Here is a 17,936-nt window from a genome sequence, read left to right on the forward strand (position 1 = left end):
ATAAGTTAAAATAAAATCTATATCTTTAGGATCCATCAACACATAGAATATAATTAAAAATAAATTTGTGGATAAAATTGTCCAGGGTGACAGTACGGAGAAAGAAGGAGAGAATCTGAACACCAAACTTTGAAAATAGAGACATTTAAAGAAAACACTTACTAGAAGAATTCTGATAAGGAAAAGAAAATACGAAATTATGGAAGCCCACTCTACAAAAAGTTTATCTAGGGAGGAGAAAGAAATACATTATTTTTTTCAAAGAAACCAATGAAGGCTATCAAAATGGTTACCTAGGGATGTGGGTAGTGAAAATTCAGTAAAATTCACATGGAAATGGGGTAAGATGGTGTCTTGGTTTATCTGTGTTGCTATGTAGAAATACCTGAGGCTGGGTAATTTATAAAGAAAAGAGATTTATTTGGCTCACAGTTCCGCAGGCTATATAAGAAGCATAGTGTTAGCGTCTGCTTCTGGTGAGGATCTCAGGAAGCTTCCACTCATATAGGAAGGTGAACAGGATCAGGCATCACATTGTAAGAAAAGAGGAAAGAGAGATGGGAGGAAGGAGCCAGGCTCTTTTTCACAATTAAATTTCCTGGGAGCTAATAAAGCAAGAACTCACTAATTACTGTGAGAATAACATCAAGGCATTTATGAAGGATGCATCCCTAATGATCCAAACACCTCCCACCAGGCCCCATCTCCAACACTGGGAATCAAATTTCAAATCAAACTCATTCAAATCAAATTTCAACATAAGATTTAAAGGGGACAGACATCCAAACTATAATACATAGGCAAGAATCTAGGCAACTGAAACAGCTTTAGGAAAACTGAAAGGGAAGAAGAAAAAAAAGTCTTCATAGTTTCTCAACCAACTAGGGGCAATAGAGCATTCATTATTAAATGATTTATTGGGGAGTTAATTGTAAACTAAAATTGGAATAATTTCAGTGTAAATATAGTCTTCACAATCCACCACCGTATGTAAGAAGATCCCTTAATCTAAATTTGGCTCAATTCACTACCATTAACAAGTTCCAAAATCATAGCCCCTGAAAAAATGGTAGTCCGCCATAAGTTTTTCACCAGAGATCTTCTAGTGACCAGCAGTAGCTCTGTAACTGTGATAGCATTCATGGGTCTGGAACTTACTGTTATTATTCTGAGGTTCATATTTGGAAGGAAATGCCAATTATGTTCAAGTGATTTAAAAACAGTAATTTAGAGTTATGTTTCCAATCCAGCCTCTATTCCTCAAAACCTTTCAACAGCAACTTTTTCCTAAATTGTTTCAGGAATAGAGAATACATACAGAGCTTTCTCAAATCATGATGATCTGATCAATGACTTCTGTTAATAACTGGGTTTTTCTTTTTGGTGTCAGGGCATTTGTGCACCTTCTGCGGTAATGTGATTATCTGAGAGTACAAGAGGATGCATGAAAAGTTGGCTGGTAGAAACAAGATTTGGAAGTTGTAAAGCAACTCTGGCAACTGCTTAGCACTGATGGCTATTGTTTAGTCTGCACAATGTCATCCAGCACAATATTCAATATTCTTTTAAAAATAGTCATGAGCATTTCAATTCAAAGCACAAACATGGATTTTTGTTTTCTTGTGAAAAATCTGGGAACCTGGCCCCAGTGATCTCACATTGCCTTCGTCATCACCATCAGCAGGAACTGAGTCAAGCTTGGCCTTTAGCATGTACTCTCTAGTTTGTCACTTTCTCCACTTCTCCCTATTTCCCCTTGGTCCTAAGTTCCGGTGAAAGTTGTCTTTTGTTGCTGTTGTGGCAATTATGCTTAAATTTTCCCCTAATGTTTAGAGAAAAGTCAAATATTATTTGGATACACATACTTAGCAGAAGTAGGTAAATTAAGGTAGTGCAAGATAGAGTTATGCTTCAACAAGAAAAGAAAGAAAGCGAGAAAGAGAAAGAAAAACAGCACATAAGTCTGTGGAAATGGATTTCTTGTTTACTATGCAAACCAAGTGCAGGTATGCATGAAAAAACACGCTATATGAGAAAAAACAAGCAATGTAAAGCAAACAGAAATCATGTGTAGATGTGCAAGAAATATCAAACCTGCTTAACAAATTTTTATCTCTGTATTAGTCAGGAGCCAGTGAGGAGATGTAACTTATGTCAATTAGTTTAACAGAGAGGATTTAATATGAAAAATAAAAACTGCATATTGAAGAATCACGGACAGCAAATGTAGGAAGCAGCTGTGACCCCCCGGGGCTGGAAGAAAATCAAGGAAAACGTTGTACTTGTTCAACCTTGAAGGTATGTGAAAGGGCCTCTGTAAAGTTCAAATCAACCTCTGAGAAGGGGCCTGGTGAGACTGCAACCCAGACTTTTGCAGAAAGTAGTGCCAGCTGGTATGGGTGTCTTTGAGGAGAAATGATGAGACTTATTCTGCCAAAGTTGGACAAACTGAAAATTATAATCCCAGCACTGCTAGTCCTGGAATGCACTGCTGTCACTAGGATGGAGAAATGTTGCTAAGTGGACACTAATGGGAACAGAAGGAAAACTAAAACTGAAACAAAACAGAAACAGGAAGAAAACCGAAAAGACTTAAGTTCTTTCATCCTCTTCAAGCCTTCCAGCCGCCTTCTAGTGCCTCCGTGAGCTGAGCCTCTAGTAATTGGCTAAGTCAAAATGTGGTTTTCAGAGATCAGGCCCTAGCATCACAAAATAGTATAAAGAAAGAGGTTTTGAAAATGAAAGTCAATAGCCTAATGGCTGCTACAGCTATCTAACTGGTCCTTTATCTGCTAGAGTTTGTAATCTCGGCCTTAAAGATAAAATTAAAATATTTAACAGGCCCCTATATTTGTATAATACATTATGATCTATAATGTCCTTTTACACATTGATTTGTGTCAACTTCATGCATTTAAGCTCCACAATTATGAAAGGCAGGAATGGCAGATATGGTCACCTCAGTTTTCCATATGAGGAGAAGGAGGTAGATAGAAGGCCATTGATATGCCAGTCACATGAATGCAAAAGTCAGAATTGCAACCAAGATACTCTGTCTACCAGCCCATTGTCTAATCACTGCAGCACACTACTTCTATAAATCCACAGGTAACTGGACTCCTAAAACTAATGAAGTTCACAAATCCCACTGCCTTAGGGAGGAGAACACTGGTGTTTGGCATGGCTCATTGTCCCAGGTCAGAGATGAAACCCATTTGTTTGCTGACTGGTTTTATTAAGTTCTGAAGAAAAAAATATACCTGTCTCCAGTGGAAGGTATTGGGCTATCTGAGGGCAATTGAATTTAATGTTTCCTGGAACACCAATTTTATGTCTTGTAAAAACCCTGAAGGAATGCAACTCAGCTTATTACCCTAAAAGAACCATGTCTTGGTTTGCAGGCTATCTTCCAGTGCCAGTAAGGAGCATAGCTTCTGAGATGCACAGTGATATTTTCCTATCATCATGGGAAAATCTGGGTGAATTAGGGGGAAAACAAAACAACAAAAAGGCTTCCCTTCCTTAAAAAACAGTATTGCCACCTGCCAGGAAATTGGAAAAATAGGTACACAAATCTGTCAATGAAAACAAGATGAAAGTTACCTTCTGGACTGGTGCAGTGTACATCTTGAACAGCTGTAAGTGGTGGCCTGTGTTTTCTCAGTTACTAGTTCCACAGACTATTAAAAAGTTTTATATAAGGCAGTGGATTATAGATAGTTATGCTTAATTTGTATTTGCTTTGTTTCCATTATTGTACGTGTCATATCCTTTGATGGGTTTTATGGATGTCCAGACAGGAGCATAATTACATTCCTCAGTTTTCTTTGCCCAAGGGGAAAAATAAATAAAACATTTTCTTCAGGGACCAACTACAGGGAAAATATACTGTGAAATGGATCTGGAACAACACTCATCCAAAGACACACCCTGAATTTCCTCCCTTGTTCACTGCCCTTTACCTCAGCTTTGCTAAGGAAGAGAAGCCTGGTATTTTTTTTTTTTTTTTACAAATAATGATGTATAAGTATCTGTTGGGGTCAGGTCGAGACAGTTACTTCTTATGCTTCATGATTCCCCAAGGAGATTTTATTTATTTGATCCCTGATCCATACAAATGTGCATGGAAACACACACAGAATCCAAATTTTGGATTTCTGGGTGAATACTTTTATTTCATGTTGCCAATTCTCTCGTTCTCTGCCCCCTCTAAAAAAGGAATCACTAACCTGATAAGAGATATTGGGGACAATCTGACATCAACTGGATTATCTCAAACAGGAAGGCGTTGGCACTTCACTGAAATACAGGGAGTGGGGCCCATCTATTTGGCTCTATTTCTTTCTTCCTCTCTCCTTCACTCACTCATGACTATAAAATACATTTTCTACCCTAGAAATGGCATGGGCTTTCTAGTAAAGTTGTTAGCTCCTTTATGACTGGAGGAATTACAAAAATAACCAGGCTACTGCTTGCCAAGTATACTGGAGAGAAGTGTTAAACTTTGAATATTGAACTAGATAACATTGGAAATTGTGTACATCCCAAGATTCTATTTTTATAGATAAATTCCACTAAATTTTAACTCTAAAATTCCAAACAAATGTATTCACGAAGGCCAGGAGGGCGTAGTGCTTAGGCTTGTGAGCTTGGAGTCATGTTTTTGTATTGCATTCCCAGTTCTGCCATGTAATTTCTTGGTTATGTTGGAGTCTCAGTATCTTTTCATAGGAAATAGGAACAATAAATTAATAATTAAATAAATTATATTGATAAATAGAAACATTTTGATCACTGAACGTAACAAAGGTATATAGTACAGTGCTTGCCACCTTACAATTGCTCAATGAATGAGAGCTGTGATTATCATTATTAGTGAATGCAATTGAAAGCAGAAGGAATAATAAACAATTTCTCCAGCAGAAAACTAACAATCAACAGAAGGAATAATAAACAATTTCTCCAGCAGAAAACTAACAATCAAACAAAACAGTGGAAGAGAGTTTGAGGAGAACAAAGGGATACAGATCTTTCGTTGGCTTGGAACCATACGGATCTGGGGACAGATTGTCATCACAACTCAGTCCGTTTGTAATATTGACCTGAATTTTAATATGCACCCCTAACTCAGATTCCTCTTTCTGCAGATTTACAACAACTCTATTCTAGAGCCATTTTCTAAGCACCAAGTAGGAGTTACAAAACCAGGGACTAAGTAAATATAAATCATTTAGTCATTCATTACTTCAATAAATATTTAATAATATCTGTCACAGTCAGTGGATGAGGTACTAGAGACCAACTGGTGAACAACACTGGCTTAATCCTTACCGTGATGTAATGTGACTCACTCTTGGAGTGGTGGTAAATGAGGGGAACTTATACAGGCAAATCTCTCTCTCTCTGTGCCTCTTTCTCTTTAGCAAAAATGGAAAAATTCCTTTGTCATATGACTTTGCAGCTTCTCTCAGCAAGAAGTGGAATCTCCTATTCTTTTAACCAAGGCTTACCCGTGTTACTGTTACTTGATTTGGTCAATGGGATGTATAAAAAATGCTTCTCAGTCTCAGAAAGAAGCATGCAATGTGCATGTCAATGGACTTTGCCATCTCTTGATATTATTGGGAGCCCTGCAATATATGTTTACATAAGTCAGAATAGTATTAATTCTTTGGGCAGGAGTGTGTGTATTGATTTGGAAGTGGCATGAAGGAGCACTCTGGAACTATTCCATATCATTATCTGGGTGGTAGTTAAACAGGTATGTGCATATGTAAAAACTAATTGAGCTGAAAAATTAAGGACTTACACTTATGCATATTGTCCCTGTTTATATACACACATGTGCACACATGCACATGCACACACACACATAACCAAGGGGCAATGGCTCATGAGTTATAAAAAAATTGCATGAGTATAGTATCACAGGAGCTAGGGATAATCATGTTCAGCTATGATGAATGTGGTCAAAAGATTGAGTAAGATGAAAATAGTAAGTTTGTACTGGATCAAGCAATGTGGGGGTTGTTGATATACTTGGTGAGAACAGTTTTCATGGAAATAGTTGGGGAGAGATCCCATTTTGGAGTAGGTTTAACAGTGAATAGGCGGTGAGAAATTTGAGATGGTATCACATCTAAATAACTCTCTTAAATACTTTGTTAAAAGTAACAAACAAATGGATTGGTGATAAAAGTTAATTTGGGAGAGAGTGTTTTAAGTTTAGGGATACTAACATATGCTTGTATATAGATAAGAAGGATCTAGAAGACAAGACAAAGTTGAGATAGCAGAAGAGGGGAAGGATAAATGAAGGAGAAACATTTATTTTATTTTATTTTTTATAGCCATTTATAGTCTTACCAAGGAGAAGCATCGAAAAAATTTAGAATTTTAAAATAAAATTACTACTCTACTATATTTTCATTGGCAACCTGCTCCATTAGTAGGAACGTAATATATGTGAGGTGTTATCATTTCTATTAGTCCTAATCTACGCTTTACTGGATGAGCGACCTAGACTCAGCTAATCCCTCCTTAATCCCTAACTGTAAAGGAAGAGTCTTAACATAAGAATCTGTTAATTCTGTGACAGTTACAAATTCTAGGGTTTTTTTTTTTTTATTTCATCTTGATCACTTCTGTTCTATAACATGCAGCCACAGTTTTCTTACAAAGATCACAAAAGATTACAGACAGAAAATATCCCATTGGCCAAATCAAGTAACACACAAGCCTGGATTAAAATCTTAAGAGACTCTACTTCTTATTGAGAGGAGCTGCAAAGTCACATTACAAAGAAATGTTCCCACTTTTGCTAAATAGAGAGCGAGACAGAGAGAGGGAGAGAGATTTGTCTGTGTATCTTCTCCCCACTAACCTCCACTCCAACAGTGAGTCACATTACATTATGATGGCAGGAACCAAGCCAGTGTTGTTCATCAGTTGGTTTCTAGTGCCTCATCCACTGACTGTGACAGATATTAATGAATACTTTTGTTGAAGGAATGAATAACTGATTGATATGTAAGACTTCATACATAACACTTGATATGTATTAATACATGGATATGTAAGATTTGATATGATAACACTTTGTGCGTAAAAAATAACAGAGAAACTGATTGGTAATAAAAGTTAATCCAGGAGAGAGTATTTTAAGATTAGGGATACTAACATAGACTTGTATATTGGTAAGAAAGATTCAGGAGACAAGACAAATTTGAGATAGCAGAAGAGAGGAAGGACGAATGAAGAAGAGACATTTACCAATTGAGAATTTTCTGAAAAAGTTACCATTATATTGTTATTGGCTACTTGCCCCATTAGTAGGAATTTAATACATGTGAGGTGTTAATATTTTTATTAGTCCTGATCTACCTTTTTAGTGGCTGGGGGACCTGGACTCAGTGAACTGCTTTGTAACTTCTAACTGCAAAGGAAGAGCTTTGACATCAAGATCTCTTAATTCTATGACAGAGTTACAAACTCAAATTTCTTATTTCATCTTGATCACTTCTGTTCTGTAACATGCAGCCACAGTTTTCTTATAAAGGCTATAAAAGAATAGAGACAGAAAATAGGCTGAAAAGCTCCCCCCGGAAATCTAAGATTTATCAGTAGAGTTGTCTTCGGGTAGACTTGTCTTTAAAATTCCCCAAAAGGCCCTTGTGACTGTTCAAGTTTTAATCTCTCTCTTTCATTTCCACAAAACAAGTACATTTCCTCCTTCCACTGTGAAATTGTCTTGTCACTTGTGACATTAATGTAGAGGAGAAATCCTTTAAAGGCAGCCTTTGCTTCTCTTGATCTTGCAGCATGCCTCAGCCAAGGCATCCTCAAGTGCATACACAGCTAGAGGGGAGAGTATGGGCTTTGCTTTCTGCATTTCAAGGAGAGTGGGAGGAGAAAGTGGGGAAGACCGCTGGCCAAGATCCCTATATCTTTTCATTTCATACTACTTTCTCTGACCTAGACCAAAGATTATTAAGGTTGAAAGGGACATTGGGGAATCATCTAATCTACCTCCCACCCCCAATCCTTTTACAGATGAAGAAATCGAGTAGTAAGGTGATTTGCCTAGGACTTCAGTTAGATATTAACAGAGAGTGTCTCCAAGTCCCTCTCCTGTGCCTTGCTATTCATTCATCGAAAAGTTTGCTTCAGGTGGGCTGGGCTATGATGAACTCCATGTGGTTTTAGTGAATGATTCCTAAACCTGAGTGATCATCAGACTTAGCTGTAAATATTTTAAATACTTTAAAAACCTACAGGCTGCCAGATCCCATTCCACACGGTGTGATATCTAAATCTGTGCTAGTGTTTTTGTCTCAGAATCTGTAATTGAGCAGAGAAGAGTTAACATAACAAGTCTGATCTTTAGAAGGATCTTCTTCTATGCTGGTTCTTTGCTGGTATCTTAGTACTTAGATGCTATAAAGTTCTCTAAGTGATAAGAATATATGCCTGCTTGGGGCATTGATCACCTGATATTCTTCTGGGAGTCTGGAGTTTTGATATTTATTACTGATCATTGTGTCTATGTAACCCATCCCCAATAAAAATCCTGGACTCTGAGTTTCAAGTAAACTTCCTGGGGCATAAGAAGTACATGCGGGTTACTGCATTTCAGGACTGGAGGGAGGGTGTGCTCTGTGTAGCCCCTTTGGAGAGAGACTAGAAAGGGTGCTGGTGGATTTGGAAACTAGAAACTGCTTGATGTGTATTTTTGCCTTGTGGATCTGGCTATATCTTCTTACTGTGTCACTGCAATAAATCATAGTCATGAATAAAATTATATGCTGAGTCCCTTGGGTCCTCCTAGGGAAGCACTGAACTTATGGGTGGTCACTGGGCCGCTGAAACAAATTACGTCAGATACCGTGGCACAAACAGTGACAACAGTGTTGACGCAGAAAAATACAAATATCTTCTGATATGTCTTATGAGCAGCCAGTTTTGGAAACCTCTGGACAAAACCGTGTTACATAAAAATATGTAATAATGGGACTGTTGTATTCTGAGGAATCAAGGAAATGTTCTTTATTTATATCTGATAGACTTCTTAATAGTTTCAAAAGCAAAATTTTGATATTTCATCCCAAGTCATCTCGCTGATATCCTTTCTCTTTCAGTAAATGGCAATTTCTGTTTCCTATTCTTAATTTTCTCAGGCCAAAAACATTAAAGTCACTCTTGCTAGGTACAATGGCGTGGGCCTATAGTCTCAGCTACTCAGGAGGCTGAGGCCAGACGGTCCCAGGAGTTTGAGGCCAGCCTTGGTTACATAGCGAGATCCTGTCTCTAAAAAAACAAAAACAAAAACAAAGAGGCAAACAAAAAAATCACTCCTAATTCTCCCCTTCTTTTCATATCATATGTAAATCATGATTATTGTAGAGACTCAATTCTGATAACTTCATAATAACTCCACCTTTACAACTCCGGATTAAATTGTCGTCTCTCACCTGGAATGTTGCACTAGTGCCCACTCATCTCCTGCCACTTACCTCGTGGTCAGACTGCTTGCCTCATGCTAGCCCAATAAGCCATAGGTCACCTTATGTCACATCTATCCTCAAAAGATGCCAATGGCTTCCATCTCTGTCAAAGTAAAGTCTAAAATCCTTATCATGGCCTACAGGCTTCTTTATAGTTTAGTCCCAAGGACTGCTGTGTCTAATCTCTTCCCTCTCCATCACAGGCCTTCGCCTCCAGCTACACTGTCCTCCTTGCGGTTCTTAAGCTGACCAAACATGCTCTTGCCCCAGTTTCTTTGTAATTGTTGTTCCCTCGACCCACACTTTTCTCCCAAATGTCAGCCTGGCCCGTGTCCTCACTCTCCTCGGATCTCAGCTTTAATGTCACCCTATCAAGGAAAGCTTTCCTCAGAAGCCTAAGTAAAACCCTTCTTTACCTCCCCTTATCTGTTTTCTGACCTTACTTCATTTTTCTTCAAGGCATTCTGGAAGCCCTGAAATAGTTATGTGTGTTTGTCCATTTGAGTATTGACGTCTTTCTCTTGGAATTTGTTGTAAGCTCCATGAGCCGACACTTGGTTCTGTTCCCTGACTTATCCAGTGTCTAGGACAGTAACTGACTCTGGGAGGTAAGAAATATGCTGAATGAATAGATAAAGCAGTGATTGTGCAGGATGAATAGGAATTTAGGAAAAGGGGGTAGTGAAGGGAGAGCATGCTGAGATGGACTTCAGTGAGAAGTATGACGAAGAGAAGATGTGAGGTTGGTTACTTCAGAGACACGGACCGTGCAGGTGAGGCACTGACACATTCTGCAGTGGCTGCAGAGAAGTCTGACCCTCTTTGGTCCTTCTTTTGCTTTCACTTTGACATTCGTTGCAGTCAGAATGATTTCCTGAGTTCTCCATGTCAAGACTGTGCATGGACACAGTGGATTGACACAAATGATATGAAAACAGTTCTTTCCAGCCTGTTTTGCTTGAGGCCCTTGGTAAGCTTGAGAAGCCCTCCCTGCCAGGGCTGCTTCTATCGATGGAGCTAGATCACGGGGCTGCTCCTCTGGGGCCCTGCAGGGCTGCATTAATTAATAGGAGGAACGGCCTTTGACCTGCCAGAGCAAAACATGCCAAGAAAGTGTATGCCTCTTTCTTTCTTTCTTTTTTCTTTTTTTAATTTGATTTTTAAAAGAAGACTATGAATTTCAAATAAGCCAAGACTACAGAGGAATTTGCGAGGGATTAAAAAAAATCTCCAGCCCAGGACCCAAAAACTCTTCAGAGTTTGAACATTTGTTTGGAGGGGGGTAAAAGTGCTATGCATTTTAAAAGCAGAATTACAATAAATAGAGACTCTCTTTCTCCTTTCTCTCTCACATACACTCTCTCCGTCCCTCCCTCCCCAGATGCTTTAGGGAATAATAGGACAAGTAACGTTTCTATTACTGATAAAAATATATGTTTTATGCATACTCTGGAGAAATTTGCCAGCTGGTCTATTATGGCTAGAAGGGAGCTGCCATGGAAAATGATATTCCACTCAGGTTATTTGGATATTTGCATGTTTTGCAAGAAAGACAGATGCATAATTATGGAAAGGGGATTTGGAGCTAAAGTAGTAGGAGCAGGTATAAAAGTAGATGCATTTGAGATCACTTTTTCTTTCACTGTAGATACGACAGACTTTAAACTGGGTTAGACATTTATTCAGATACAGTTATGCTCCAGAAATCTGAAGTGAGAATAGCTTTCCTCCATGGCGTCTTGCCAGCCAACACTATGACCAACAACAAAACTCAATTACTGAGTAACTATTGCGCGTAAAAGAATCATAGGGTCACCCCAGTACCAAAGAGCAACACAGAGCAGTGGCTAAAAATGTGCTCTGAAGTCAGACCACTGAGATCAAGCAAGGCTCAATTCTATCATCTTACCAGATCACTATATTTGGACGACTGAGTTAACCTCTCTCTTCTTCTCTTCTGTCATAAGTTGAATTATTGAAATTATAAAATTATAAAACCTGAAAAGATTATCAGATTTTATAATTAGACAATGAAGGCCCAAAAAATGAACACTGTCATTATTTACTGTCTGGGGCACTAATTCTATAATAAATCAATCACAATGCCAAAAAATATTATTGTCGTTTTGAATTTAAATGCATTGTTCAGCAAATTTTTATCGAATTCTTTTTATCAAGAATACATTTTAGTTAACCCAAAATATACAAAATATTACTTCAAATTGTATTCAAGTTGCTTTTAGAAAAGCAACGCAGCATTGTGCATTATTTTTCTACAAAGTCTCCTAAATTCCGTGTGTATTTGACATTTGCAACACATCTCAATTCAGAAGAGCCGCGTTCAGAGGATTTGAAGGTTGGTGGCAGCTGTGTGGGACATATCAAATTCTTAAAATGTGCTAGACACTAGTCTATATGATGTGAATGACAAAAAAAAATGATGCTTCCTTCCTTTAAGGAGCAGGCAACATGGGTCAGACATTCAGTGCCCTCCTTTTTAGCTCTATTGAAAAATGAGCTAGACAGTCACACTACTGAGGAGTAAAACAACTGAATTCAACCCCCGCCAGGAACTGCAGCTTTGTACCCATTACAAATCTCTGCCCCTCCCTTCTCCTGCTCCAAGTCTCTGATAACCACTATTGTAACTTCACATTGGATTAGTTAATTGTTTATTAATTGTTTATTATCTAATTGAATGTGAGTAAACTTGAGTTTATTATCTAAACCCAAGTTAGACAGTAAGCCATAAATATATATTACTGACATCACAATCGCCTCCATTTATAATCAATTACTGAACAAATTGTACCAAACATGTGTACTTAAAATCCAAAGGAGAGAGACACTGATGTGATCGATGGAAGGACTACTGATGAGTAAAATCCCAAGTTAGATCTTATAGGATGAATGCATCTTTCCTGGATTAAAAGAAAGGAAAGGATATTGCAAACCTAGGAATAAACTGAGCAAGTTATGGCATTTGGAAAGGTAGGCCTATTTAATTGGCAGCGAGTAGGTCCTCTTGGCTGGAGCAGATTCATCTTGTTTAGATCAATAGAGGAGATAATAAGATTAACCTTATAGGTTAATGGTAGAATTTGGTTGTAGAAGGAAGTTTGAGGACAAAGAAGAATTTTCCAGTGAAGGACAGGTCTATCTAAGATTGCAGGGTCATCCTCAACACCAACATCGTCACAGGGAAGTCTTGAATTGCATGGACCATGAGTAGATAATGTCTGACATTTTTCTCATGTTTAGATTCTGTGGCTTACCTCTAGAAGGCCTGCCAAGGGGATAATGGGCTTTAATGATTTCATCACCAAATAACCATGAGTATGTTCCTCTCTCTGTTTAGTGGTGCATATGGTGAGTATATCGTGTGGATGGACAGAAAGGCTGCTAGATTCCCCCTCCAATATCACTTTCACCTGAATGGCTGTGAAGATTTAATGATTTAATTTCTATAGAAGTTCTTTGTAAATTGTCACAGGCAGTGTCAAATTGAGATTGAGGAGCATAGAATACAATTGACATTTTTGACTTACAATCAGTTGTGGCAACAAGGCAATAGACAGAGCTAGACTTTGACCTCCAGGACTCCTCTTTTCCATACCAGTGCCATGCATAACACTGCCTCCATTTTTAAGACAACTCTTCATTTTTTCTCTCTTTAGTGGCAAATACTGTGTAAGTAACTCCCCTTCTCTCAACTTCGCTATGAAGCAGATATTACTGCTACCACATTTCCCAGATGAGGAAAGTGATACTGAGATAAGACAGGTAAACAGCCCAAGGTCACACATCTTTAATGAGCAAAGGCAGGCCTTGACCCTAGCCCACCTCTGCGAGATGCTAAAATCTGGCTACAAAGTCTTGCTAAAGGATTTCTAAGCCTACGCCACACAGGCTTTGGAGTTAAAGGCTGCCTGCCTGCTGCTCCTTACTTGGGATTCAGGGTACCCAGGGCTCCCCACTATGGCTCTCTTGACCCCGATTTATCCCTGTGCCCCCTAAATGCCCTTTGCCTTTTCTTCTTAGTTAACTGTGTGCACCTTTGAAAATTTATATAACTATGTCTTCTTGTCACTAACAGAAAAGCTACAGCTATAAAATGGAACTTTCTGGAATGAATGGTTATATAATGATGCTCTGTGAAGGAAAAAGATATAACTTTCCTAAGGGTAGCTTTTGGTTTCGACCCATTTATGAAGTTCCCTCAGACAAGTATCTCAAATGCTTTGTACCTCAGTTTCTTCATTTATTAAAGAAGAAAACATTGGCTGCCTTCTCTGTTCAGGAGGGCTGATGGGAGGATGAAATCAGATAGCTCAAAATGGAGAAAACAACTAAATTATAAAGCTCCAAACAAATGGAAAGCATTGTTACTTGGCAGGAAGCTTTGCTTGTAGAGAGTCACGTTAACAAGGACTGTGGCAGGAGAATGGCGTGAACCCAGGAGGTAGCGCTTACAGTGAGCCGAGATAGCGCCACTGCACTCTGGCCTGGGCAAAAGAGAGAGACTCCGTCTCAAAAAAACAAAACAAAACAAAACAACAACAACAACAACAAAAAACAAGGACTGAACCCATATTGTAGTGATGACACTGACTGCTGGAGTAAGCTTGTGCATGTCCCTTAAAGTCTCTGAGCTTCAGTTTTCTAATCTGAAAAACAGAGAAACAGAGTTTCTCGCAGGATTTCTGTGAAGATTAATTAGGGTTTTTCTTAGAACTTAATTGTTTACAAATCATTCTAATATTTACCACAATTGATTATTGATTGGAAATAACACATTAGAACATCTGTAAAATGCAAATAAATATACAAAAAGGTTAGAGATCAGTATGGTTTGCTGAAACAACTTCAGGTAACTGGGGGCTTTTGTAGGCTGCCAAGCAAGCCTGTATAGATCATGGCATAATCAGCCTAAACGGTCGTGCTCCACAGTCTGAGTCAGAACAAGTCTGAAGTCTAAGACACAGACTTTTCTTCCAGTTGTGGGGGGCGTTAAAAAGACTTGGTGCATAGAAGGACGGTTACTCTTAATAATAATGTCTTCATCAGAGCATGTGCTAGGCAAGTCCCTGCTGTCCCTACTGTCCAGAGGAGGGAGGGAGAAGTGGGGAGCTACCTTCGTCCACTCAGCCCTTCCATCCTTGGGAGAGCGCGTGCAGCAGTGTCTTGCTGTGCAGGCTAAGCTGGGCAGCCCAAGCACTTGGAATGAGGTCAAGAACTTTTCTGACTCCTTAGGTACCTGCTTCCGTAATTTTTGTCTGCACTTGAGACTTACTCAGTGGCTGTGGCCTGGAAACTTTCTGGCTAGCAAAGAGATGGGCTTGTCCCTGAAATCCAGGTCCCAGAAATAATTCTGGTGAGAGCTATCTTTTTCAAAGCAAAAAGCAGCATAAAAAAGGTAAACAGGTTATCCTTGGGCTTAATATGGGCCTCGGAATCAAGTATACAAAACCCAGCTTTACTATTCAGTGTCTTTATATTTCTAGGCACATGACATGGTCTTCTTCAATCTTGGTTTCATCATCTCTTTAAAGGGGATAATAATCCCAGCCTTTCTAGTTCATGGTAATTAAATATTATTAAAAGAGATAATATATAATGAGGTGAGCATTGTAATGAACACATACTAAATGTTCAAATATGAAAGCTATTACTTTAATGTTTTTTCATCTTTTAGGAATATAGACAAAAACATAACATATGTATTATGCCTTTGCCTACTGTGTCAAAGCGAAGGCCTTTATTTAATGCTGAACTTAGGCAAGGCAGTTTGCTGAAGCTCTGGTGAATACAAATAAATTTACTTAGTAACCCTTGTCTTTAAATAGCTTCCAAACCGGTAAAATACAGCAGGAAAAAAATGAGTCGCAAAAGGCAGTATAGGGGCCAAATGAACAGTCAAGATGAAAAGTGCTACAGGAACTGAGATGAGAGAGAGAAATGATATGGGAAAACATTTAACAGAGAATCTTTTCTTGTTTTATTTAGTCCATCCATCTGCCAGTCAGCCTGTCAATTATTAATATTAGTGAACGCCAATATTGTTCCAAAAGCCATACTAAAGGTAATGTTTGAGTTGGGCCTTAAAAGGTAAATAGGAAGGGTATGGAGAGGGTAGAGAAAGTGGGATTAATTTCCCTATGTATTTAATTGGGTGTCAATGTAAATTTAAAAAATCATATTCAATTTTTCCTTAGCTGTAGATGTAACTACTTGCTGATAATTCCCATATGTTTGTCCTCATCCCGAACTCCTCTCTCTGACTCTGGGAAAGTAGTTCTCTCCAGATATGCTAATAATATCTCAAATTTAACACATTCTTACATATATTGTGAGCATTGTCTTTTCATAAAAAAATGAGCACTATGTTAGCTCCTGTCTCAACTAAGGTCATTACTATCTATTAGGAGAAGATTTCTGCCCTGGTCCTGAGTGTCTTTGCTGGGTATGCAAGAGTACCCAAAGGCCTAACTGTTCTTTAAACCAGAGTCATTTCTACTGCTAGTCATATAGATGTTTAAGCAGGCCAAGATGACTGCAACATGATGCAGTATGACCACCTACTCCCCAAAGACTGGGGACTGTCCTATTTAGTGCTTGCTATAAAATATACTGGGCCCTTAGCCCTGGGTTCTTCAGCTGCAATGCAACCCACCGAGTGTGTAGCTGCAATCTGGACCCATCACATCACTCTGTGGGCCTTGGGGCCAAGGGAATTGGTACTACTATGCCAAGACTCCTATTCATTGCTGCTGTGCAATGATTAATATCCTGTCTTGTATTGATCCACTGAGTCTCATTGTCTGCTTCTGCTCTGTATTATTACTCCTTGCTCTATGAAATTGTTTTTTTTTTCTGATACCATCCAACCAATATTCCAATTTCTGCACCTCAAAAATTACCTCTCTCTGGACCTTGCAACCGTGCTGTCATAAGATCAGAAAATCAAAACCCCGCCACTCCAAAGATACATTCTCTAGCTTTTTTCTCCACAGATTTCCTAAATTTATTCCTTTTATCTGAGGACTTATTCATCTCAGACAGGTCATCTTATAATTTAGTGATTGCCTGTTTAGGGTTGAAGTAAGAGAGCCTGGATTTGAATCTAAGCAGCACTACCTGAAATCGTTATGATTTGAATGGCTTCTTAATATCTTAGTGACTTGTTCTCCTCTGATATAAAAGTAGGCTAGTAGTAGTAACTAACTTATGGGGTTGCATGAGTATTATGTGAGTTAAAATGTGTAAAGCACCTGTGACAGTGCTCAGAAAATCGTAGGGGCCCCGTAAATGTTAACCGTCATCATTATTATTTTCATCATAAACTTTAGCCTTATGGCATTTTAAACACCAAGGCGTAGTCTTCAGAGCCATATCTCTCAAATGCTTGAAGGTCTTTCTACTGGTTTAACAACAGGCACAAAGGCAAATTCTCAATCTTTGGCTTTTAAAGATCTGAAGTCATTCTACTTTCCCTTTGATAATCTCTATCTAATGCAACATAAATTATGTTGAACATGCCTTTCTTCTTCAAAAACAACACATCCTTTTATTTCCTTTTCATTGAACTTCTTCCTAGTTTTCTCAGGTTTTTTTTTTCTTCCTTCATTTTTCTGTATTTATATTTCTTATTGTCCTTAAATGACTATGCCTATTCTATGTCTGAGCACAGTGAATAAAACATTAAATTTAATTAAAAATTTAAGAAAGAGAAGGAATGAGAAAGAAAGCACTAGAAATACCAGTTTCAAAATTTTGTGCATTGAGAAATCATTATTTCCAAAAGATTTTCTAAGGGCCACTGTCCTTATGACAATTCAGTGTTCTATATATGTTCACAGGTTATTTTTTTATCTTAGGAGAAATAAAAATCCTTACTGGATAATCCTTATTTATGCGTGTTTTTAAACATACTCATACTTCCCTCTATTGTTTGTTTCATAGAGAGCACAAATCAGATTTGGATATCTTATCTGGGATTTAAACAAATACGTTTATACATGAGTCTATCAAAATCCTTATTTACATATAAGAAAAAATATATGCTCAGCTTTGCCCAAGAAAGTCCCAGTTGATGCCTATAATTCTGGTTTAATTATTAATAGCTCTCATTTCAGTCTCAAAAGTATCTCCGTTTTGATGGTGAATCATATTGGCATCCTAGTTATAAGAAAGTTTTATGACTGAGGTTGTACAAGAAATCAAAAAGTTGCAATCAACTATTATTTACATGGTATAAGATATGCAGATGATCCACCAAAAGCATTTATTGAGTGTCCTCTGTGTGCTCAGCTTAGTATTACATATTCCTTTGAATGACGACCTGACAGGGAGATACCCTGACCTGTGGACTTTCTCTTTCTGTTTTCACCTTCATCTGGGGCCATTTTACCCAACCTGGAGATGTAGGATCAT

General features: G+C 38.2%; 1 annotated feature.

Moving 5' to 3' along the window:
• Positions 2,485–2,644: an enhancer, noted in NCBI's record as "active region_3992". NCBI's record gives its function as "activates an Ori minimal core promoter by ATAC-STARR-seq in GM12878 lymphoblastoid cells {active_cell/tissue: GM12878}" and the evidence as "EXISTENCE:reporter gene assay evidence [ECO:0000049][PMID:35858748]".

Source organism: Homo sapiens, chromosome 10, assembly GCF_000001405.40.
Source record: "Homo sapiens chromosome 10, GRCh38.p14 Primary Assembly".
Lineage (NCBI taxonomy): Eukaryota > Metazoa > Chordata > Mammalia > Primates > Hominidae > Homo > Homo sapiens.